The sequence below is a fragment of the Homo sapiens genome, chromosome 15 (genome assembly GCF_000001405.40).
Source record: "Homo sapiens chromosome 15, GRCh38.p14 Primary Assembly".
Lineage (NCBI taxonomy): Eukaryota > Metazoa > Chordata > Mammalia > Primates > Hominidae > Homo > Homo sapiens.
In genome coordinates, this window is record NC_000015.10 from 82,868,159 (window position 1) to 82,893,510 (window position 25,352).

The 25,352-nt window shown below is 45.0% G+C and overlaps 1 protein-coding gene and 1 long non-coding RNA gene across 16 annotated transcripts in view; one reads left to right on the forward strand and one right to left on the reverse strand.

The window, feature by feature from the left end:
• HOMER2 (homer scaffold protein 2) overlaps positions 1-25,352 on the reverse strand; it is a 151,497-nt gene that overhangs the window by 33,498 nt on the left and 92,647 nt on the right. For all 15 annotated transcript variants that reach the window (XM_047433359.1, XM_047433356.1, XM_011522232.3 and 12 more), the window contains 2 exons: positions 24,527-24,683; positions 7,115-7,246 (listed from right to left, as the gene is read on the reverse strand). In XM_047433359.1, coding sequence (XP_047289315.1) covers positions 7,115-7,246; positions 24,527-24,683 — 289 coding nt within the window. The remainder of the gene's footprint in view (positions 1-7,114; positions 7,247-24,526; positions 24,684-25,352) is intronic.
• Positions 24,644-25,352, forward strand: part of LOC105370928 (uncharacterized) — a 49,172-nt gene continuing 48,463 nt past the window's right edge. The window contains exon 1 of the long non-coding RNA XR_007064741.1: positions 24,644-24,704. This is a non-coding gene — a long non-coding RNA (uncharacterized LOC105370928). The remainder of the gene's footprint in view (positions 24,705-25,352) is intronic.

The window sequence follows — 25,352 nt, forward strand, 5'->3', positions numbered from 1 at the left end:
TTGCCCACTTTTTAATGGTTTTTTTATTGTTGTTGTTGTAAATTTAAGTTCCTTATAGATGCTGGATATTAGACCTTTGCCAGATGCACAGTTTGCAAAAATGTTCTCCCATTCTGTAGGTTGTCTGTTTACTCTTTTGATAGTCTCTTTTGCTGTACAGAAGCTCTTTAGGTTAATTAGATCCCATTTGTCACTTATAAGTAGGAGCTAAATGATGAGAACACATGGACATATAGAGAAGAACAACACACACAGAAGCCTACTGGAGGGTGGAGGGTGGAGGGTAGGAGGAGGGAGATGATCTGGAAAAATATATATTTTTTAACTTTTAAGTTACATAAGTTATATATATCACTTATTTATTTTATATATATATATATATATTTTTTTTTTTTTTTTTCCCCTTTTGAGACTGAATCTTACTGTATCTCCCAGGCTGGAGTGCAGTGGTACGATCTTGGCTCACTGCAACGTCCACCTCCCAGGCTCAGGTGATTCTCCTGCCTCAGCCTCCTACTGAGTAGCTGGGATTACAGGCATGCGCCACCACGCCCGGCTAATTTTGTATTTTTAGTAGAGACGGGGCTTCACCATGTTGGCCAGGCTAGTCTCAAACTCCTGACCTCAGGTGATTCGCCTGTCTTGGCCTCCCAAAGTGCTAGGATTAGAGGCATGAGCCACTGCGCTCAGCTATATATATATATATATATTTAGACCTACAGTCCCATTGAGGTAGGAGGCAGGACTCAACTCTGGACTAGACGGAAGACTGGTTAATGGGCTCACCAGAGCCATGACAGTTTACTCATTCCCTGGCAATGACCTAGAAGTTACCACACTTTTTTTGGAAATGTTTGAATAACCTGCCCCTTAATTTGCATGTAATTAAAAGTAGGTATAAATGCGACCACAGAACTGCCGCATAGCTGCTCCTCTCGACACACTGCCTACAGGGTATCCCTGCTTTGCAGGAGCAGCCACAGGGCTGTAACACTGCCACCTCAATAAAGCTGTTTTCTTCTACCACCAACTCACCCCATAATTCCCTCCCAGGCAAAGCCAAGAACCTTCCCAGGTGGAGCCCCAATTTATGAGCTCCCCTGCCCTGCAACACCATCATCCAAGATAAGAACAAACCACATAATCTTCTGATATTTTTCTGTCTGTATATTTGCATTCATTACCTACATTTCTTTTAAAATAGATTATATATCTCATTTTATGGCCTCTTTTGAAATAAACAATATGATATTAATACTTCCATGCAATTATATGATTTTCTACTAAACATCTTTTTTTTTTTTTTTTTTTTTTTTTTGAGACAGAGTCTCACTCTGTTACCCAGGCTGGAGTGCAGTGGCGTGATCTTGCTCACTGCAACCTCTGCCTCCCGCGTTCAAGTGATTATCCTGTTGCAGCCTCCCAAGTAGCTGGGATTACAGACGCCTGCCACCACACCTAGCTAATTTTTGTATTTTTAGAGGAGACAGGGTTTCACAATGTTGGCCAGGCTGGTCTCGAACTCTTGACCTCAGGTGATCCACCCGCCTGGGTCTCCCAAAATGCTCCGATTACAGGCATGAGCCATCACGCCCAGCCTCTATTACACATCTTGATCGCTACATATTACCCTGAAGGATACACTGCAGTTTAACCAATTTCCTAGTACTGGATGTTAGGGCTTTTAAATTTTTTTTATGTTATAAATGATGCTGCAATCTTTGTACTGATATCCTTATACTCAGTTACAATTGTTTCCTTAGAATAGATTCTTGTCAATGAAATCCATGGATCAAAGGATATTCAAATTGCAAAGGTTTCCGAAATGTATTGCAAAATTCTCACATCTTCATTAAGGTCATTTTTTGGTACTTATTAAAATTGTGGTAATAATTTTAAACAAAATCATTATCATGATAGAAAATGAAACCATTACTGTTTGATTTCATTTGTGGCTTCTTTTGGCCTTAGCCATTGAAGACCTGAAGCAAACACTACTGTTTGTTTATTCAAAATCTGTTTCTTTTCCCGTAGCTTAACAGAGTCTCAAGTTTTTCTGGAGCAGGAAATTTCCTAGGTGCTAGAGAATGAAAGCTAGTCTAAGCCAATCATGGAAATCCGTTTCCCTGGTTTTTGGTGGGGTAGGGGAATGGGCTAGGGACCCAGCATTGATAATGGGGCCCCAGAAGTCTGCCAGGGGGGTTGCTGTGGTACCAGCCTCTTCCTCCTCCCTCTCGCCAAGAATGCAGGTGTGATGGGTAGAGCTTTAGAAGCCATCTTATCACCACAAAGGAAAGGCCGATAAAAGAAAAAAGAAACAAATGAAATCCATGCAGATTGTCAGACCCAACATCATGGAGCCACTGTACTAGCAACCACCTGCCTCAGGACTTCTTCACATGAGAGGAAATTATCCCATGTATTTAAGCACGGTGATTAGGTTACCTGTTACTTGCAGCCAAAAGCTTTCTACCTAAAACATGTCAAAATAATTATTAATATCCTCCATTTTAAACATTAGCTGTTAAATCAGGACCCAGAAAGGGAGGAGATAAAACAATGTTCTTACGATACTGAGTGAATAAAGTGACTACATGGGGACAAATTTGAATTACAGATGAAATCACTGAAGTGGGTCAAAAGCAAATGCCATGCACGTATCGGGGTTTGGCCAGATCAACCATGGTGCACTGGCAACGCCATCCTGGGTCGCTCCCCATTAAGGGCAGAATATGTTTCCTTCTGCCTGTAATGAATAAGATGGAACCAAACTTAGAACAGTGACAACTCGAGGTCAAATGCCAGAAAGAAACTAAACTTTAACCACTGGCTCATTCTTATATTTGTTCCTCCTTCTGTCTCCTTTCATAAGCTCTTCCTTTTATCAGCACATGCAAGTGCCTTTTCAATTTCCTTCAGTAGGCTGGGGTTTTATGTCCTCTCCAGTGGGTGGACAGACGAGTCCCAGTTTACTTCTGAGAAAACACAGCTTCTACTATTTTTGGACAGCCTATCTAAAGAGCAGGAAATTGCCCTGTAATAATACTTTTTGGACTGTGGTTGGGAAATAGTCCTTATAATGGAGCAGTTAAGACCAAGGCATCTATTTTCTTTCTGGGGGGTAGAGAGGGAAGTATGTATAAAGTGTTCTTAGATGAAAATGTCCACACTGGTGTTCCTTTCTCTAGCCTAGTTATAGTGCTTGATTACCATTTCCCTACAGGGCTGTGGGTGGTTGCTCTGGGAAGTCAGGAATACTCAGCCTGGCTGTCCCCTCAGCACACGCCTTGGGAGCCCTGGAGGCCAAGTTCCTCTGTGCTAGCTAACTGTCACTTGTTGAGATGGCCAGACTCACTTCATGATAATTTATCAGCGTGTGGTTAATCATTTCCTTCAGAGAGCAGGGGAAGAAGTTGATTTGAAACATTTGGACAAAGGGGTTATCTGAGGGCTTCTCTGACAAGTCTTTGTGACGATGGAGGTTGTGGGCACCGAGCAGAACTCCAGCACTGCACCAGAGGCTGAGTGGCTTGGCAGGACGGTGCACTCCTCCTTAATGATAGGACATTTTCTTCTGTCTGGGAAAAATTAGATGTGGCCATCCCTGGAAGCCAGCACAGCTCAAGGTCTCTTCAGTTCTCAGAGAGGCACAGAGCATTTAACTTGGACAATGTGTTCTGGTTTTCGTGGGGAGTTCTTGCTGTCGATTCTTTTCATAGAAACCTTCCCCCCTTTCTACCTAGCTGCTTGGGTTCCTTTAAAGATTGAAGAAATTGTTCCAGGCAGCTGTGAGTGATTCTCTCAAACCATCCTTGGCTTCAGGGAAGAACTTCCAGCCCTGGGAGGGAACAGGAGCACATGACCAGGACGGGCCTGCCAGGGATCACGTCTTGGACAGAAGCTCCCAAGCCTATTTGCCAGGATATGAGGCAGGTGTGGGAAGGGGCCACTCGGCTGAGGGGAAGGGAGTTCCCAACACACCCTTCCTCACCAAGGACCACTTCAGGAGGGAAAGACATACACCCCCATTACCCCCTCAGACAGAGGTTCCAGCTAATTATTCTTTCAACAAGTCACCATCTCATTTGCTTCTGCTTTAAACAAATTCTCTCTGCTCCTCACAGCACCTGTTCCTGTTCCTCTTCCCCATTTCAGAAAACGGCCTCACCACCCTCCATCCCTCATCACCCCAGAATCTCTTCTTCCTCTTCTATTCACCCCAGTTTTGCCAATATTTGTGCCTCGGTATTTTTAAAATTTCTCCAACTCTTAACCCTTCATCAGTTCTACCCTGGACTAAAACAATCTAATCTGACTTGCTGCCAGAAAAAATTCTACCTAAAATGCATCTGAGCATTTTCCTTCTGGTCTTAAAATCCTTCTCAGGCCATAGGACAAAGTCCAGAAGCTCTGGCATGACCAATAAAGCCTTCCACGACTGGACCTTAGCAGCCTTACCCACCCGAAAATCCTGGACACTCCATCAACAGTGAACTCTCCACAGCTTCCCTCACACACCTCACAGTGCCACGACTTCCCTCCAGCTATCCTGTTGTCGGGCAGACGACGGAAAAGGGAAATCTTCCCTGTGGACAAACCCCGAACATCTCATGGTGCCACATGCACAGCAGAGGTGGCCTGGATTTGACATCTCAGTGGGAATGGTTAAGGGCCTAGCTGCATGAGGAGGAACCGGGAAGAAACAAGGTGACAAAGAGGTTTGAGCAACAGCAACATCAATGGGTCCAAATGGAACCAGAGCCTGAAAATACTCATGTTCCATATGCATGCTCTTCAGAGGCCTTTACAGCAAAACAGAATATTTCAAACTAGGTGGCAGGAGGGGCTGTTCTATGGATACCCAGTCATTCACTTTCTCCAGGCAGCCTGGTACTTGCTCAAAAGACTTAAGGACACACTGGCCATGGTGCCAGGGAAAAAGGCACCAAATGGCCTTGAAAACACATACTCCTGCTCTCCACAGCCACCCTGACTCCCGGCCCTGCTGAGCATCCTACTGTCAACACAGTGACCCACGCCAAGCATCACACCTCTAGGCACCAGCCAGCTCCCTGGTGAAGGCTGATTCCACTGGGCCCCTTATTCCAGGGGAAGAGTGATTTATCATCACCAGAATAGATACTGTGGACCGCCATGCCTCTGCCAGCCCTATCAGCCAAAGATTTACCCAATACTTTCTGTCCCACATGACACTGCTTCAAACCAAGTGAGGCTGCAGAGAACTCACTTCTCTGCATATGAAGTGAAGCAACAGTGATTGCCATAGGATTCTCAGCTCCTCCCAGGTACCGTATCAGCCAGAAGTGGCAGGCCTTGCAGAACTGTGCTGCACTCGTGCCTGCTGAACATCCAGGATCACAGCACACAAGCCCAGGAAGTGAGGGATTGTGGACAGAGAGGACGTCTCCCATAACTATGTCCAATGACCTGCCCTCGAGATTTTTGCTTTTTGTCCATGTTTCCAGGCCCTGGTGATCTGGAGGTTTTAGCACCCAGGAAAGAATGCTTCTGTAAGAGGGCGGCACAAGGGTGGATGCTCAGAGTGCCATCAGGCCATTTTGGACTTCTCAGGCTTCTAAGGAAACAGAGTCTTCGTGGAAGTTCCTTGGGATGCAGAGGACAGTCTGTGGGGTATCCCCACTGGGGTGCTCATTTGTGACTGGGTATGGGATGGCCGGATCTGTGCGCTGGGGACCTCCTTAGAAGTGTGTGTGCGTGCACACATATATGTGAGTATACACACACATGCACACACACTGGACAAAGGAAGGGGACCAGTTAGCAGGCCTCTGCTGTGGGAGGCTTCCTGACTCACCCTAATTTCCCCCTCTTTGAAAACTGTCTTCAATACACACAAGTAACCCAAGCAGTCAAGTCTGTTCTAGGCAACTCTGTCAATTCCCCAAGAATCTGGAAATTTGTGAAGCCCTGGAACAAGGGCCACATCTCTGCATCCTCAGTGCTGAGGATGGTGTCAGCAGAGCAGAGGCTGGGTCAGCACTTGTCCAGCCAGTCAGTCAGATGTTCACAGCAAGGGTCTAGAGAAAAACAATTCTTAGAGCCAAGCTGCCAGAAGCAAGTCTGGCTCTGGCCCTTCCCTGGGTTTGCAGCTCTCTCCTGCACTCCTTGAGAGACTCCAACATTCTTCCAATAAATTTCTTTGACTTGTAAACTAGTCAGTCTTACCTTAAACCAAAATATTCTAAATACTTACAAAGGGCTCTTCTACCACCCTAAAAGGAAATGTAGTCTCTAAAACAGGCTCTCAGCCCCTTTAAACTGCTGAGTAAGGCCTCTCAGAGGCGATCAGTTTATTCCCTCAGTTCTTGAGGTTCTCCAAGTCTGTGGTCAGCCATGATTTGCTCCTCAACACCTTTCTAACCATCCAAGGAGTTTGTCCCAGGGCCCTTGGAGAAGTGACTTGGAGCTATGAATCCTCTCCCTAGAAAAAAAGTAACATACACACACCACTGTGTGGCATTTTAAGGCACGTGGGGAGTCCAAGCTAAGCGCTTCCATTATGCATCACCTTACTCCCCAAGAGCTCCAAAAACAGAGTCACTGACGTTGATGGCTGTCAGAGACAAAGTGTGCCTTACTTCAAAAGGGGTAACATGCTTATTTCATCAAGATGCATTCTTGGCAGCAGGAACACAGTCTCTTCCTTGGAAGTTCTATAGTAACAACCCTCCGATAACTGTGCCCTCACACAGGAAGGTCACCTAATCCTCAGAGTCCTGAAAACCCAATGGATCTGGTTTTGGCACACAAGCCAGCGCTCAGTCTGTGCGCTGATACCACCGGGCACAGGGAGCAGTGGCTGACACCTGGAGGGGAGGATGGACTGGCCACACTGCAACTTCAGGCCCCAAAGCAGCATTTGTTAGATACGAATTTCCCTTCCCCAGATGACTTCCGTGAACCTGGTATTTCAAAAGGGCCTCTGCTTTGGCAGCCCCGTGATGCCAGGAGGAGTGAAACCAAAGACCAGAAAGGAATCCTGCTCACCAAGGGCACATCCCTCGGCGGGCAATCACTGATGAGAATGGCATCTGATGCGGGATTTACTGCACTGTGGATAGGACCAAGTTACCTTTGTCAGCTGCTGCTCAGAGGAAAACCCCAAACCAAACACTGTGTTGGCTCTGCTGTCGGCCCACTGCCCAAACTTCTGTGACGTTTTGGTGAAGGTCATATTCGGTGTGATTGTGCTGTTTATGATCACCTGCAGAAAAACAGCCCAAAGAGTGAAAATTTAAATGTTGAATGAGACAAAGTCATTCCTTAGAAAGTCTTCTATTGGCAAAGCCAGTGCTTCAAGCCTGTATCCTCTGCCCTGTTAAATTTGGTCCCGCGTTCTCCTGGAACAACCCATGCTGAGTCAGATGAACAACCCATGCTGAGTCAGATACACAACCATGAAAAGGGGCAACTTCAGAGACTTAACAGTCAGTCTAAAATAAGATCCTACACGTTATCCGTGGGAGAAAGTCTCTCCTAAACAAAGAATAGTTTCCCAAACTGCTATTTATTTCCCCAAAGCTGCCACGCATCAGAGTGCCCTTAATGGCTAGCCATGTCCCACATTCTTGGAAGAACTGCACTATGTCGCTTTATGAGTCACCTGGAGCCCCAGTGTCCAACTCAAACAATTGAAAATCTCTATAAGCAATTGAGGCCTGCTGCTTCCCAACAGGAAGGAGCAGGTACAGTCCAATTAGGATAATTTGTGGAGGGTTAATTGACAAAGAAACTAATTATACGGGTGTGAGTGGGGTACAGGGAATCTGTAAGGATGGTGCAGCAGCCTGGTGCTAGCTGTCACCACTCCTTGGCCTAAAAGAATGAGGGGATGGAGAGGCTACAGACCCTGGGAGGGGGAGGGGTCACGTAGAGCAAGCTACCTGTTGGGGGACACAGTCAGCACATGGCAACCTCACAGGAGTGGGGAACTGGGGGAGCAAACACCCTCGCCTCTCTCCCTTTGATTTCCACTTGCCATTGGATAAACCCAGCTAGAAGCCAGAGGGCTTGGGAGCCCACTGATGTCTGCAAGTTAGCCCCTCAGGGACCAGAGCAGTGTCAAGAAGGGTAGAGGATGAATCTGAGGTGGAAGGGTAAGAAGATAATATCTAGCACATGGTACTTTTATTCATTCAAACATTTATTGAACATTTACTATACACCAGACATTCTGCTAATCAAAGATACAAAGATGAATGAGTCAAGGTTCCTGGTCTTTCAATGGCAAGTAGTCAGGAAGAGGGCAAAGACATCAAACAATTGATAAGGGTTATAAAATATCAACAATGGCTTATTCAGTAGAAATCATTGCAAGCCCTAGGACTCTAAGAAACACTCAGGAAAAATACTCTTGGAAATAAAGGATTACTGGGTGTCTATGTAAGGGCAGGGTAGCAATAACCACTGGCTGCTTCCCCATCAGATGATCTGAACAGGGAATAAGAGCAATCTAAGTAAGTATTCTAAAGAGTGAACCTACCAGCAATTTTACTTACTAAGGTTGTTTATTCTCAATGGTCAACTCAGAACACTTTCCTTGTAACTGATAAAACAGAGAAGACAAAAAAAGTTTGAATGGCATAGGGCTTGCTTTCTGTGGTAGGAACCTGAGTCTACTCTTTTGCTAAAGGACAGACCTTCCAGATACAAACCGTTGCCTTAACTAAAGGGATCTAGACAGTAAGTGACAGCTGTCAGTAGTAACAGAAGTATCATTGCTCTTGCTAGATCTACATTTATCTATCTATCAGACTATTGAGTTTGCTGATAAGCCACTGGCTCAAGAGAAAACCTTAGCTTAGCTGGTAAAATAATTTTTAGAATACTAACAACAGCAATTACTATTTGTTGAACACTTATTGAGTGCCTCATTTATATTAGTTCACTTAAACCTTACAACGAGCCTATGCATACGACTATTCCTTCATTTCACAGAAGTAACTGAGATTTGGGAAAGTTTTTTTGTTTGTTTGTTTGATTTTTTTGAGACAGAGTCTTGCTCTGTCACCCAGGCTGGAGTACAATGGCATGATCAAGGCTCACTGCAACCTCCACCTCCTAGGTTCAAGCGATTCTCCTGCCTCAGTCTCCTGAGTAGCTGGAATTACAGGTGACCGCCACCACACCCGACAAATTTTTGTATTTTTAGTAGAGAAGGGGCTTCATCATGTTGGCCAGGCTGGTCTCAAACTCCTGACCTCAGGTGATCCGCCCGCCTTGGCCTCCCAAAGTGTGGGATTACAGTCGTGAACCACCGCACCTGGCTGAGATTTGGGAAAGGTTAAACTAACTTGCTTAAGGTAACACATTAAAGCTGGCCAGTAGGAGACTCTAGAGATAAAAACCCAGTTGTCTGACTCCAAGACTTGTCCTATAAACTTCCATATCATGTTGCTTCTCATTTTATACACGATGAAGGAAACATTACTGCCCCTCTTCTTTTCCCCATCTATGAAGTACTGATGTTCATGTGCTACGGTCCAGCTGACTTTTCCTTTCTTTATAATAACCCTTCCATAATGCCAATGTCCATCTGAGTCAGGACATTTTACCAAATGTTTTCCATCTGGAAAACTGAATGCAACATGAGAAGTCAAGAGATCTGTCTACTGTCACTGGACACTATCAAGAGATGGGGGCAGGGAAGCAGGGCGTGGAAAATGGAGATCTAAACTACTGGCAAGTGTAGGGGAAAGCTATGGGACCTTGGAGGGTGGGGGGATTCTGGCTCAGCCCCAAGCAGGGTGGATATGGTGGAACCAAGACAGACCTAAGGAAGGTGTGTGGCTGGGAGCTGGATCAGGATGGATCACGTGACCCCAGAAAGCCAACCCTGGTCATCTCTCAATTACCAGAATCCTGGGAGGACAAAGCAATGACTACATCCATTCAGAAACTGGATTCACTTTAAATCTTGCTGCTACTTCACTGCAGGCCTATGCCCCTAGGTCAGTCACCACACCCCAAGTCTCCTTGAAAGGCAGTGGAAAGAGGCTGGCCAGAGTATAGGATATGGCTCTTAAGCTCACCCCATACAGGCTATCCCAGAGGCAGTCAAGCTAGAATAACAATGGTGATACCCCCTGCTATTTCCTTAAAACTTAGTTTCTAGGGCACTTTTTCACAGTCTTTAACCCCCATTTTTTTCAGATGGCGAAACTGAGGCTTAACAAGGTCAAGGGACCTGTTCAAGGTCATAAAACTAATAAGTGGCTAAAAAGAATATAATGTATGTCTTACTTACAAAGCAACAACGGACTGATTTCTAGAGCTAAGTCTATTTACGATGGCTGGAGGTTCATTCAGCTTCTTAAATCTGTAGACTCATCAGTTTTTAGAAAATTCTCATTCTCTCCATGAATATTGCTTCCGCTCTATTCTCTCTCCTTGCTTCTACTTCTGGGACTCCAATTACAGACATGCTAGGTCTTTCATTTTTCTTTGAGATAGGGTCTTGCTCTGTTGCCCAGGCTAGAGTGAAGTGGCACAAACATGGCTCACTGCAGCCTCGACCTCCTGGGCTAAAGTGATCCTCCCGTCTCAGCCTCCCAAGTAGCTGGGATTACAGGTGTGCACCACCATGCCCAGCTAATTTTTGTATTTCTTGTACAGATGGGGTTTCGCCATGTTGCCCTGGCTGATCTCAAACTCCTGGGCTCAACCAATCCATCTGCCTCAGCCTTCCGAATGCTGGGATTATAGACAGGAGCCACCATGCTGGCCATGCACAATATTTTTTACACTCATCAATTATTTTTCCCTGATTCTTGGTACTCTCTGATTCTATTTGGGTATTTTCTATTAATCTGCTTTCCAGGTCACTAATCCTGGCCACTGATGTCTCCAATCTGCTGTTAAATCTATCCATTGTTATCTTAATTTCAGACATTGTTATTTTTTAGTTCTAGAATGTCCATTTGGCTCTTTCAAAAAAAATTCTAAGACTCTGGGAGTATTCTCCTTCCTTTCATCTATTTTGTCCATTTTCCCTCTGTTTCCTTGAATATATTAATCGTAGTTTGCAGGCTCATGCCTGTAATCCCAGCACTTTGGGAGGCAAAGGCAGATGGATTGCTCGAGCCCAAGAGTTCGAGACCAGCCTGGACAACATGGCAAAACCCCATCTCGACTAAAAATACAAAAATTAGCAGGGCATGGTGCTGTGCACCTATAGTCCCAGCTACTCAGGGGGCTGAGGCAGGAGGATTACCTGGGGCTCCGGAGGTCAAGGCTGCAGTGAGCCGTGATCGTGCCACTGTACTCTAGCCTGGGTGACAAAAGTGAGACCCTACCTCTAAGAAAAAAGAAAGAAAGAAAATAAAGAAATCATAGTTTGCAATAGCATTGTCTTAAAAAATAAAAACAATCTGCATACCTTAATTTTAAAATATTTTATTGCTAAAAAATGCTAAGGACCATCTGAACCTTCAGCAAATTGTAATCTTTTTGCTGATGGAGGGACTTGTGTCGATCCTGATGGTTGCTGACTGATCAGGGTGGTGGTTGCTGAAGGGTGGAGTCATTGTGTCAATTTCTTAAAATAAGACAACAATATTTGCTGCATTGGTTGATTTTTCCTTTCACAAAAGATTTCTCTGTAGCATGCAATGCTACTTGACAGCATTTTACCTACAGTAGAACTTGCAAAAACAATGTCCACTACCAACAGAATGGATAAATACACTGCAGTATTTCCATACAATGAAATACTAATCCAGCAGGAAAATTAACCAAGGCTAACCAAATTGATCAGCATGGATGAATCACAAAAATTTAACATTAAAAAAAAAGAAGGAAGTTACAAAAGAACACATACATTATGAGTCTCTAGTATGATTCTATTCATATAAAGGTCAAAAACAGGTAAAACTGAATAACAGATTATTTAGGGCAGGGGTCAGCAAACTATAACCCTCAGGCCAAATCTAGCCTATGGCCTGTTTTTGTAATTAAAGTTTTATTGGAAGACAGCCATGCCCATTCATTTACATATTGGTCTATGGCTGCTTTCTGGCTACAAAAGAGTCAAATATCTGCAGCAGAGACTGTACAACCTGAATAAAAAACTTTTTTAAAAATTACTCTCTGACCCTTAGAGAAAAAGTTTGCCAACTTCTGGTTTAGCGATATATACACATGTGGCAAAACTATGCAGAAAAGCAAGGGAATGCTTAATACACTCTTAATAGAGTGGTGATCTCTTGAGGAGTGGATGGGAGAGCATCTAATTAGGGAAAGGCCCATTGAAGGACTTCTGAGGTATTAATGAAAGACGTACTTCCACTGGGTGGTGGGTACATATGGGTTTGCTTTATTATTAGACATTGAATGGTACCTATTAATACAAATGGTTAAAAATAAAGTCTACAAACCCATAACAAAGTTGTTAGGGAGGCTAATCTTCAGAGTGGGCAGAGGCTTATGAAAACAGCAGGTAGTATCCTTCCCGCCCATGGAGACACTGGAAGATTGTGTTAGGGACCGAGGAGGTGGCTGGACCTGTGGGTTCTGGCGTCAGAGGAGATACGAGACTTGAGTAAACTGGGGGATGAGAAGTAAAGGGGTCACCGGGTGGAGAGTGTCATCTGGTGGAAGAAAAGAAGAGAGGCCCAGGGCAGAAGGCTGACTTAAGGAAGCAACCAAGGAAGAGCAGGTGAAGGAGTTGGCAGTACACGTGCCACAGGTGGCCAGCAACCAAGGAAGAATTCAGCCCTGGGAGCCAAGGGTGAGTGTGTGAAGGATGAGGGCACAGCTGAGTGCCCTCAATGCGGCAGAATGACTTAGCAGAATGAGAACTGTTTACCCCTGGAGAGAGGGGAGAACGGACCTGGGGGAAGGAACCAAAGCCCAGAAGGGAGAAGGGGCTGTGCTAAAGCACCCCAGGCATAAGCTTCATACAGGCTCCCATCTCTGTGTACACCTTCTTCTTGCGTGAGTCATCTCTAAAACTTTCACAGAGAAAGAAGCCACCCTAGTAAAAGACCCAGTCCTGCAGATCAGTGGGACCAAGTTGTCACAAAATGCACAAAACACAGGTAATCAAGAGCTGCTTGGAAGCAGCAAAATGCTAAGTTTCTCCTGTCTCCAGTCTCACCTGCTCTGGATTTCAGAGGAAGCTGCTCATGAAACAGGCAGGGGGAGACAGGCCCATCGGATTCCTTTCATGAGAAGTCTTTCCCAAATCCAGGGAGATGAAGTTGGATGAACCTGGGAGTTTTCCATAAGAGGCTGTGACTGAGTTACAGCAATAAAAAGACATGTTGCCTGCTCCAAGAGTAGTTATTAACAGGTGCTTTTTAAAAATTTAAAACAACAACAACAAATCACAGACAGCGAAGAAAAGAAATATTCACTGAAAACCTACTGTGTGCTCGGAACCTTCCTTATGCTTGCTCCCTTAACAGAAGGTGCTCTGTATTTATTCAAAGGAGTGAATTCTAATGAGGAGTGGACGAGCAGAGCCTGAATGTGTTCCTGAAAGTAATTTTACATTTCCAAAAGAAAATACCAAATAAGTCAGAGTTTTGGATACTGATATCCTCTGAACCATCACAATCAGGCAGCACTCGCAACACAACAGGTGTGGCTAAATATTTGTAGAATGGATGACCTCTAAGGTCTCTTCCAATACAGGTTTCTGTGATCCTATAAAATAACTGAGAACCAAGGGCAGCAGAGTCATCCAGAGCTCCCAGGAGAAGCACCTGCTTCAGGCAAGTCTTGTCCACAGGCAGGCAGTTTCTCATAAGGATGGCAGTGATTAACTCAGTCTGGAAAGAGTGCCAACAGCACAATGAAATCAAGTGCTGTGATGGCTCAATTAACCAATGCTCTGAAAATGGAGTTTCTTTATAATGGAGTTGGCCGTTCTGCCTAAAAACTCACCATAAATCACATGCCTATTGGCATGTGCCACATGGTTTATAGCAGTGCTCTGAGAAGCTGGGAGTGGGGAGATGCCCTCATGTGGCTCCCATCTGTCCAGTGTCTATAAACAGGGACAACCCAAGGTTTGGGTCCTTGGGTCCCCCCTTGGCAGTGACCCTGCTGTCCTTCTGTGGACACAGTACACCTGCCACAGGCCTGGAGAGAAGGTGGCCAGGCCTGACCTCATCATCCACTCATTCCCCCACCCCCTTCTATGGCGTTGCCCACCCTGGCTTGGTGCTAGGACTCCAAAGATGAGCCAGGCATGGCTGCCATCCTCAAAGAGCTCACAGTCTCCTGGCAGCCCCAACACTGACATGGATCCACATAATCCCCTAGAGCTTGGGCAATGCTGAGGCAACACACTGAAGTTTTCCCACCCACTCATGTCTTTAGACAACAGCTGGAACTGACACATGAAACATTGTCCCGGGGAAGAAGGAAATGTCTTCGTGTTTTAAGAATAAAGAACAGGTCTGAGTACAGATCTTCCTGAGATGAGTAGCACCAACTGCTTCCAGAAGGAGGAGAGGCTGTCCATGCATCCCTCCCCAGGTAGAGCGTGACACATGCTTGGACAGGGCAGAGGAGCTGGCTGTGCCTGGCATGGAATGACAGCTGCTGAAGCTGTTGGCCACAGCTTTCCTTCTCAAAGAGCCTGTGCTCTTTGGCTGCCCACAGTTTACACAGAAGCTGAATCTGATGTGGCGTTTGCTCAAAATGAGCTGAGTCCATTCTACACCAGCCACTGCTTTTTTTTTTTTTTTTTTTTTTTTTATTATACTCTAAGTTTTAGGGTACATGTGCACATTGTGCAGGTTAGTTACATATGTATACATGTGCCATGCTGGTGCGCTGCACCCACTAATGTGTCATCTAGCATTAGGTATATCTCCCAATGCTATCCCTCCCCCATCCCCCGACCCCACCACAGTCCCCAGAGTGTGATATTCCCCTTCCTGTGTCCATGTGATCTCATTGTTCAATTCCCACCTATGAGTGAGAATATGCGGTGTTTGGTTTTTTGTTCTTGCGATAGTTTACTGAGAATGATGGTTTCCAATTTCATCCATGTCCCTACAAAGGATATGAACTCATCATTTTTTATGGCTGCATAGTATTCCATGGTGTATATGTGCCACATTTTCTTAATCCAGTCTATCATTGTTGGACATTTGGGTTGGTTCCAAGTCTTTGCTATTGTGAATAGTGCCGCAATAAACATACGTGTGCATGTGTCTTTATAGCAGCATGATTTATACTCATTTGGGTATATACCCAGTAATGGGATGGCTGGGTCAAGTGGTATTTCTAGTTCTAGATCCCTGAGGAATCGCCACACTGACTTCCACAATGGTTGAACTAGTTTACAGTCCCACCAACAGTGTAAAAGTGTTCCTATTTCTCCACATCCTCTCCAGCACCTGTTGTTTCCTGACTTTTTAATGATTGCCATTCTAACTGGTGTGAGATGATATCTCATAGTGGTTTTGATTTGCATTTCTCTGATGGCCAGTGATGATGAGCATTTCTTCATGTGTTTTTTGGCTGCATAAATGTCTTCTTTTGAGAAGTGTCTGTTCATGTCCTTCGCCCACTTTTTGATGGGGTTGTTTGTTTTTTTCTTGTAAATTTGTTTGAGTTCATTGTAGATTCTGGATATTAGCCCTTTGTCAGATGAGTAGGTTGCAAAAATTTTCTCCCATGTTGTAGGTTGCCTGTTCACTCTGATGGTAGTTTCTTTTGCTGTGCAGAAGCTCTTTAGTTTAATTAGATCCCATTTGTCAATTTTGTCTTTTGTTGCCATTGCTTTTGGTGTTTTGGACATGAAGTCCTTGCCCACGCCTATGTCCTGAATGGTAATGCCTAGGTTTTCTTCTAGGGTTTTTATGGTTTTAGGTTTAACGTTTAAATCTTTAATCCATCTTGAATTGATTTTTGTATAAGGTGTAAGGAAGGGATCCAGTTTCAGCTTTCTACATATGGCTAGCCAGTTTTCCCAGCACCATTTATTAAATAGGGAATCCTTTCCCCATTGCTTGTTTTTCTCAGGTTTGTCAAAGATCAGATAGTTGTAGATATGCGGCGTTATTTCTGAGGGCTCTGTTCTGTTCCATTGATCTATATCTCTGTTTTGGTACCAGTACCATGCTGTTTTGGTTACTGTAGCCTTGTAGTATAGTTTGAAGTCAGGTAGTGTGATGCCTCCAGCTTTGTTCTTTTGGCTTAGGATTGACTTGGCAATGCGGGCTCTTTTTTGGTTCCATATGAACTTTAAAGTAGTTTTTTCCAATTCTGTGAAGAAAGTCATTGGTAGCTTGATGGGGATGGCATTGAATCTGTAAATTACCTTGGGCAGTATGGCCATTTTCACGATATTGATTCTTCCTACCCATGAGCATGGAATGTTCTTCCATTTGTTTGTCTCCTCTTTTATTTCCTTGAGCAGTGGTTTGTAGTTCTCCTTGAAGAGGTCCTTCACATCCCTTGTAAGTTGGATTCCTAGGTATTTTATTCTCTTTGAAGCAATTGTGAATGGGAGTTCACCCATGATCTGGCTCTCTGTCTGTTGTTGGTGTATAAGAATGCTTGTGATTTTTGTACATTGATTTTGTATCCTGAGACTTTGCTGAAGTTGCTTATCAGCTTAAGGAGATTTTGGGCTGAGACGATGGGGTTTTCTAGATAAACAATCATGTCGTCTGCAAACAGGGACAATTTGACTTCCTCTTTTCCTAATTGAATACCCTTTATTTCCTTCTCCTGCCTGATTGCCCTGGCCAGAACTTCCAACACTATGTTGAATAGGAGCGGTGAGAGAGGGCATCCCTGTCTTTTGCCAGTTTTCAAAGGGAATGCTTCCAGTTTTTGCCCATTCAGTATGATATTGGCTGTGGGTTTGTCATAGATAGCTCTTATTATTTTGAAATACGTCCCATCAATACCTAATTTATTGAGAGTTTTTAGCATGAAGGGTTGTTGAATTTTGTCAAAGGCTTTTTCTGCATCTATTGAGATAATCATGTGGTTTTTGTCTTTGGCTCTGTTTATATGCTGGATTACATTTATTGATTTGCGTATATTGAACCAGCCTTGCATCCCAGGGATGAAGCCCACTTGATCATGGTGGATAAGCTTTTTGATGTGCTGCTGGATTCGGTTTGCCAGTATTTTATTGAGGATTTTTGCATCAATGTTCATCAAGGATATTGGTCTAAAATTCTCTTTTTTGGTTGTGTCTCTGCCCGGCTTTGGTATCAGAATGATGCTGGCCTCATAAAATGAGTTAGGGAGGATTCCCTCTTTTTCTATTGATTGGAATAGTTTCAGAAGGAATGGTACCAGTTCCTCCATGTACCTCTGGTAGAATTCGGCTGTGAATCCATCTGGTCCTGGACTCTTTTTGGTTGGTAAACTATTGATTATTGCCACAATTTCAGAGCCTGTTATTGGTCTATTCAGAGATTCAACTTCTTCCTGGTTTAGTCTTGGGAGAGTGTATGTGTCGAGGAATGTATCCATTTCTTCTAGATTTTCTAGTTTATTTGCGTAGAGGTGTTTGTAGTATTCTCTGATGGTAGTTTGTATTTCTGTGGGATCGGTGGTGATATCCCCTTTATCATTTTTTATTGTGTCTATTTGATTCTTCTCTCTCTTTTTCTTTATTAGTCTTGCTAGCGGTCTATCAATTTTGTTGATCCTTTCAAAAAACCAGCTCCTGGATTCATTGATTTTTTGAAGGGTTTTTTGTGTCTCTATTTCCTTCAGTTCTGCTCTGATTTTAGTTATTTCTTGCCTTCTGCTAGCTTTTGAATGTGTTTGCTCTTGCTTTTCTAGTTCTTTTAATTGTGATGTTAGGGTGTCAATTTTGGATCTTTCCTGCTTTCTCTTGTAGGCATTTAGTGCTATAAATTTCCCTCTACACACTGCTTTGAATGCGTCCCAGAGATTCTGGTATGTGGTGTCTTTGTTCTCGTTGGTTTCAAAGAACATCTTTATTTCTGCCTTCATTTCGTTATGTACCCAGTAGTCATTCAGGAGCAGGTTGTTCAGTTTCCATGTAGTTGAGCGGCTTTGAGTGAGATTCTTAATCCTGAGTTCTAGTTTGACTGCACTGTGGTCTGAGAGATAGTTTGTTATAATTTCTGTTCTTTTACATTTGCTGAGGAGAGCTTTACTTCCAACTATGTGGTCAATTTTGGAATAGGTGTGGTGTGGTGCTGAAAAAAATGTATATTCTGTTGATTTGGGGTGGAGAGTTCTGTAGATGTCTATTAGGTCTGCTTGGTGCAGAGCTGAGTTCAATTCCTGGGTATCCTTGTTGACTTTCTGTCTGGTTGATCTGTCTAATGTTGACAGTGGGGTGTTAAAGTCTCCCATTATTAATGTGTGGGAGTCTAAGTCTCTTTGTAGGTCACTGAGGACTTGCTTTATGAATCTGGGTGCTCCTGTATTGGGTGCATAAATATTTAGGATAGTTAGCTCCTCTTGTTGAATTGATCCCTTTACCATTATGTAATGGCCTTCTTTGTCTCTTTTGATCTTTGTTGGTTTAAAGTCTGTTTTATCAGAGACTAGGATTGCAACCCCTGCCTTTTTTTGTTTTCCATTGGCTTGGTAGATCTTCCTCCATCCTTTTATTTTGAGCCTATGTGTGTCTCTGCACGTGAGATGGGTTTCCTGAATACAGCACACTGATGGGTCTTGACTCTTTATCCAACTTGCCAGTCTGTGTCTTTTAATTGCAGAATTTAGTCCATTTATATTTAAAGTTAATATTGTTATGTGTGAATTTGATCCTGTCATTATGATGTTAGCTGGTGATTTTGCTCATTAGTTGATGCAGTTTCTTCCTAGTCTCGATGGTCTTTACATTTTGGCATGATTTTGCAGCGGCTGGTACCGATTGTTCCTTTCCATGTTTAGCGCTTCCTTCAGGAGCTCTTTTAGGGCAGGCCTGGTGGTGACAAAATCTCTCAACATTTGCTTGTCTATAAAGTATTTTATTTCTCCTTCACTTATGAAGCTTAGTTTGGCTGGATATGAAATTCTGGGTTGAAAATTCTTTTCTTTAAGAATGTTGAATATTGGCCCCCACTCTCTTCTGGCTTGTAGGGTTTCTGCCGAGAGATCCGCTGTTAGTCTGATGGGCTTTCCTTTGAGGGTAACCCGACCTTTCTCTCTGGCTGCCCTTAACATTTTTTCCTTCATTTCAACTTTGGTGAATCTGACAATTATGTGTCTTGGAGTTGCTCTTCTCGAGGAGTATCTTTGTGGCGTTCTCTGTATTTCCTGAATCTGAACGTTGGCCTGCCTTGCTAGATTGGGGAAGTTCTCCTGGATAATATCCTGCAGAGTGTTTTCCAACTTGGTTCCATTCTCCACATCACTTTCAGGTACACCAATCAGACGTAGATTTGGTCTTTTCACATAGTCCCATATTTCTTGGAGGCTTTGCTCATTTCTTTTTATTCTTTTTTCTCTAAACTTCCCTTCTCGCTTCATTTCATTCATTTCATCTTCCATTGCTGATACCCTTTCTTCCAGTTGATCGCATCGGCTCCTGAGGCTTCTGCATTCTTCACGTAGTTCTCGAGCCTTGGTTTTCAGCTCCATCAGCTCCTTTAAGCACTTCTCTGTATTGGTTATTCTAGTTATACATTCTTCTAAATTTTTTTCAAAGTTTTCAACTTCTTTGCCTTTGGTTTGAATGTCCTCCCGTAGCTCAGAGTAATTTGATCGTCTGAAGCCTTCTTCTCTCAGCTCGTCAAAATCATTCTCCATCCAGCTTTGTTCTGTTGCTGGTGAGGAACTGCGTTCCTTTGGAGGAGGAGAGGCGCTCTGCGTTTTAGAGTTTCCAGTTTTTCTGTTCTGTTTTTTCCCCATCTTTGTGGTTTTATCTACTTTTGGTCTTTGATGATGGTGATGTACAGATGGGTTTTCGGTGTAGATGTCCTTTCTGGTTGTTAGTTTTCCTTCTAACAGACAGGACCCTCAGCTGCAGGTCTGTTGGAATACCCTGCCGTGTGAGGTGTCAGTGTGCCCCTGCTGGGGGGTGCCTCCCAGTTAGGCTGCTCGGGGGTCAGGGGTCAGGGACCCACTTGAGGAGGCAGTCTGCCCGTTCTCAGATCTCCAGCTGCGTCCTGGGAGAACCACTGCTCTCTTCAAAGCTGTCAGACAGGGACACTTAAGTCTGCAGAGGTTACTGCTGTCTTTTTGTTTGTCTGTGCCCTGCCCCCAGAGGTGGAGCCTACAGAGGCAGGCAGGCCTCCTTGAGCTGTGGTGGGCTCCACCCAGTTCGAGCTTCCCGGCTGCTTTGTTTACCTAAGCAAGCCTGGGCAATGGCGGGCGCCCCTCCCCCAGCCTCGTTGCCGCCTTGCAGTTTGATCTCAGACTGCTGTGCTAGCAATCAGCGAGATTCCGTGGGCGTAGGACCCTCCGAGCCAGGTGTGGGATATAGTCTCGTGGTGCGCCGTTTCTTAAGCCGGTCTGAAAAGCGCAATATTCGGGTGGGAGTGATCCGATTTTCCAGGTGCGTCCGTCACCCCTTTCTTTGACTCGGAAAGGGAACTCCCTGACCCCTTGCGCTTCCCAGGTGAGGCAATGCCTCGCCCTGCTTCAGCTCGCGCACGGTGCGCACACACACTGGCCTGCGCCCACTGTCTGGCACTCCCTAGTGAGATGAACCCGGTACCTCAGATGGAAATGCAGAAATCACCGTCTTCTGCGTCGCTCACGCTGGGAGCTGTAGACCGGAGCTGTTCCTATTCGGCCATCTTGGCTCCTCCCCACCAGCCACTTCTTACTGAAACACATCCACTCCTTCCCTGGGGAGGAGTGGAGGCGGCTTCCCCTTCCAGCCCACAACAGCCTCCTGCTTTGAGAGGAACGAATGGCCCAGAAGTACCACTCAGAAGCTCAAAGTAATATACTTGATGTGGCCCAGCCAACAGAGAGAGGCAGGACTCAGGCACTAGACCTGCCCAAAGTCACAGAGGTGCAGCCCATGAGCTAAGACACAGCCCCAAAAGCTAAACGCATCTGACCACCTGTCATCATGGTTCAGATCAACATTTGGGATCAAAGGCCTAAAACAAAGTGGGGCTGACCCAGTGTGGTAGAACACAATGAGGACATCAGGAAGTGTTCATACTCCCCCAGCCCAGGTGCATCCATTCCTAAGTGGTCTGCCTGAGGCTCCACGGCATGCATGAGGCCTGGGACGTGCAGCTGGGCAGGGAGCAGAGCTCCAGGCTTGGGTAGCCAGTGAACATGGAACCAGAATAGATGCTCAGGAATAAGAACAGAAGTGGAACCAAGCCGACTGAACAGAGATGGGGGTGAGGGTGGGCAAGGGCAACAGACAAGAGCCCATAAGGAGAAGGCACTGGCATCAGCACAGATGCCCAGCAGTCCGCTCAACACACTGCACCTGATTCCAGTCTGCAGACAGCAGGCGATCCATCTGGAGTATTCAGGCAGGATCGAGATTGGGCTCAGGGAGATGAGGACCTTAGTAATGGGTGGGGAAGGGGCAAGCCGCGGGGGACCAGGCAGCAGCAACAGTTGCTATCACCCTAGGGTTCTCTCTCCATGCCCACCCGACTTGTGGAACAGCTGAAGGCACAGGGTATGATCTAGACCTAGGCTGCTGGGTTTACAGGTTGCTGCCTGCCAGGTCGAGAGAGGGCCCAGCAGGGCTGAATGTGCATTGGGACCACTTTCCAGTGCAGTGTGGTCAGGTTCTCCAGACAGGATACGTGCTCCCATCCCCAATCCCTGAATGCCAACTGTAGTAATTAAACAACTGAGGTCCACCCTACTCCCCACTTCCTGGGGCCTTCTGTTCCCTCATGGGATGCTTCCTTTTGCAGAAGGAGGCTCTGTCATGGATCTCTGGTGCCACAGCACTAAGGGAGGAACACGAGGTGGCGGCAGGGCGCGTTGGCTCACACCTGTAATCCTAGCACTTTGGGAGGCCGAGGGGCAGATCACTTCAGGCCAGGAGTTTGAGACCAGCCTGCCCAACATGGCAAAACCTGTCTCTATCAAAAATATATAAATTATCCAGGCATAGTGGTGGGTACCTATAATCCCACCTACTTGGGTGGCTGAGGTGGGAGAATCGCTTGATCCTGGGAGGTGGAGGCTGCAGTGAGCTGAGATCGTGCCACTGCACTCCAGCCTAGGCGACAAAGTGAGACCCTGTCTCAAAAAACAACAACAACAACAAAAACCAGGTGGCTGGGCACCATAGAAAGGGTAGTCCAAGATCCTCTGGCTGGCTTTGAGTTCCAGCAGCACCCCATGGCCTAGGTTTTGGATTCCCAGCCTGTAAGTGAGTCTATAGCTTGATGACTCTCCCACACTGAGCCTGGACTAGCGCTGTGCCACAGCCAGGGGCTTAGCCTACCCTCCCACACCCATCTGATTTCTCATAACTGTCATATTTGGCTTGAACCCCACCACATTGTCACAGCCTTCAGGAACTGCAGAGCCATAACGACACAGTGGCTGACACTTTGACGAATTACTAAAAGCTCAGCTAATAGGACTAAAGCACTTGCTCTAAGAAAGTCGTTTTATCTATATTTAAGCCCGATATATCCTTGGATAACTCAACTGACAAAAGTACAAACCCATCGAAGGATGGCAGATGAACTGGCAGAATCTATAGATAAAAGAAAGCAGGTCAGCTTGATTCACCACTGCTGTCAGAACATCCTGGAAAGAGTCCAGGCAATTCCAGCGCAGAAGCACAGAGGAGAGAAACGGTAATTACAACTGTGGCATCACTATGTCTCTCAGAAGGAAAAAAATAAAGGCACCTTTCAGATGTTCCCCCATCAAACACGAGGTGCCTACCTACTATGTGCCAGGCACTAGCACACTTCCTTACTGCTCATCAGATCACCAGATCCTGGGGATGCGCTATCATCCTACTATCATCCTGCTTGCTTAGGCAGAAAGACCAGTTCCTTCATCTCTGAAGCGGAGGGAGATAACACACTACCCGCCTGATAGGTGTCAGGAAACTCTCCTCTACCAGCCAGGAGAAGCCTGCTCCAACCCAACAAACCAGGAACTGGTGTGCAAATAACTGGGCACCCGCCCCGGCCTACAAAGCCTCCCCAGAGGCGTGAACCTGGGCCAGGTCATTGCCTCTCCTTAGACCTCAGCTGTAAAATGAGGACTTCTGGGGTCCCTTCCTGAGGAAGAAGGGCTGTGGCAACTGGAAGGGAGAACAAGAGGATCCCAGGGTCAAGCCACCTTTATCTGCAGTTGCCAAAGTGCAGAGAAAGGGTAAAAAGCAGTCACTTAGAGAACATGGGCTGAAGTGCCCTGATCTCCTGAAGAGATCGGGAGGCACCAGCAGGCTCTCGTGCCTTCCCTGGGAGAGCTTCCCTGGAGGCTTCCCCACACCTTCTGTTTGTGGAGTGTGGGGAGAAGCCTTTACCCAGGGCCCATTCTATTGCCCAGCCCCTGACTCCCCACTCCCCTGCTTCCTGTTGCATAGGAAGGCTGATCTAGAGGCAAAAGTCAGACTAGACTGCAGGTAGGAGATGAGGCAGCTACTGCAGGAGTCCAGGCAAGACTGTGATAGGACAAGAGTTATGGTCTTAAAAGAGCAGGCACGAGTGGGTGACACTTCAAAGGCAGATTCACTTGACAAACTTAAAGAAGGACTCTATGTTTCGCTTTATTAGCCCAAATGATTGGGGAATAAAAATGGAGAGGTGGTTTAGAGGACAAAAAGGGGAATTCAGCTTTAGATACACTGAATTCCAGGTGGCAGCAGATAATCCATGTAAAAAATGTACAGCAGGATGAAGACAGAAAACCAGCAGGTCTATTTTTTTTTTTTTTAAAGACTTGGTGATACTTCTGCTGGTATCCCTTCTTAATTCTGTTCCCATGATAATGTGGCAAAAATATCATGGGAGACAGAATAACAAAAATATATATGTATTTCAAGAAATACTCCAAAACCACTTAATAAAATTCAACTCCTATGCCTAATAACACCAAAACCCGACTAGATACAATACCCAATGCTGGCAAGGGTGCAACAACAGACACTCTCATACAGGCTGGAAGAACGAACCCTTCTGGAAAACAATCTGGCAATATGCATCAAGAGCCATAAAGTGTTAATATCTTGCCCCATAATATTCTAGGAATCTATCCTAAGGACTATTCAAAAGAAAGCAATGGTATGTGAACAATTGAGGATATTTGGTACATGAAGATGCTCATTATTTATAATAGCAAAACATTGGAAGCCACTTAAATATCCAACCACGGGGGGAAATTAAGAGCATTATAGGCCGTCGGCAGAATTATTATACAGGCATTAAAATGTTAGTTATGAAGACAGTGGTAACAGAGAAATATTTTTCTTCCCCATTTACCGTAAGTTTAAATGCAAAAAGAACAGAATATGTTATACAGACATTATAACAATAACTTATGTGTTAAGACGGCAGGATTTTGGGTGCATCTTGGATGAAAGATAAGCAACTGGGAGTATTAAAATCAGCTGAGGGGGTGGTACCTTGGCTCCGTCCACACTGATGATCCGATAGCTGTTCCTTGTGACATCATAGAAGTAGGAAACGGTGACCGCCTGCTTGCTCGCAGGCATCCAGTTCTTCTTGGTGTTGGGGTCAATCTGGAAGACATGCGCTCGGGTGGTGAAGATGGGCTGTTCTCTGCAATAAGAGAGTGGGCGTGTGAGTTGAGAGAACATGACTTAATGTATAATTTATGATTTCTAGGCCACCTACTGCCCCAAAAGATTTTAAATAGCTTATAGGGAAACATACATATGCATGAAGACAATTAAAATAAAAGCAAAGAGAGAAGAAAAAAAGAGACACCAGTGAGTAGTTTTTGCAAACCACATTCCACTTAGCTGTTATCCCGAGACTGCAGGGCAATTGGTGTAATGAACAATTTGCTTAAAAGGCAACTCCTTGTTCAGTGTTTTCGAATCCCCGTCAAGTGTCCTATACTTTTTCTGACATCCTGTTGTCATTTTTAGGATTTTGGAACCAATTCACTTTTTAGAATTTTTGTGACAAATTTTGGGGGATTCTGCAACAATTTTAGGATTTTCCAATCTATTTGCAGCTTAATGTTATATTTCTATTAAGTACTTCTCAAATTTGCAGTAATTTATGAATGACATAATTTTATCTTTTTTTTTTTTTTTTTTTTGGATATAGAGTCTCGCTCTGTTGCCCAGGCTGGAGTGCAGTGGCATGATCTCGGCTCACTGCAATCTCCGCCTCCCGGGTTCAAGCGATTCTCCTGCCTCAGCCTCCTGAGTAGCTGGGATTACAGGCGTGTGCCACTGCGCTCAGCTAATTTTTGTATTT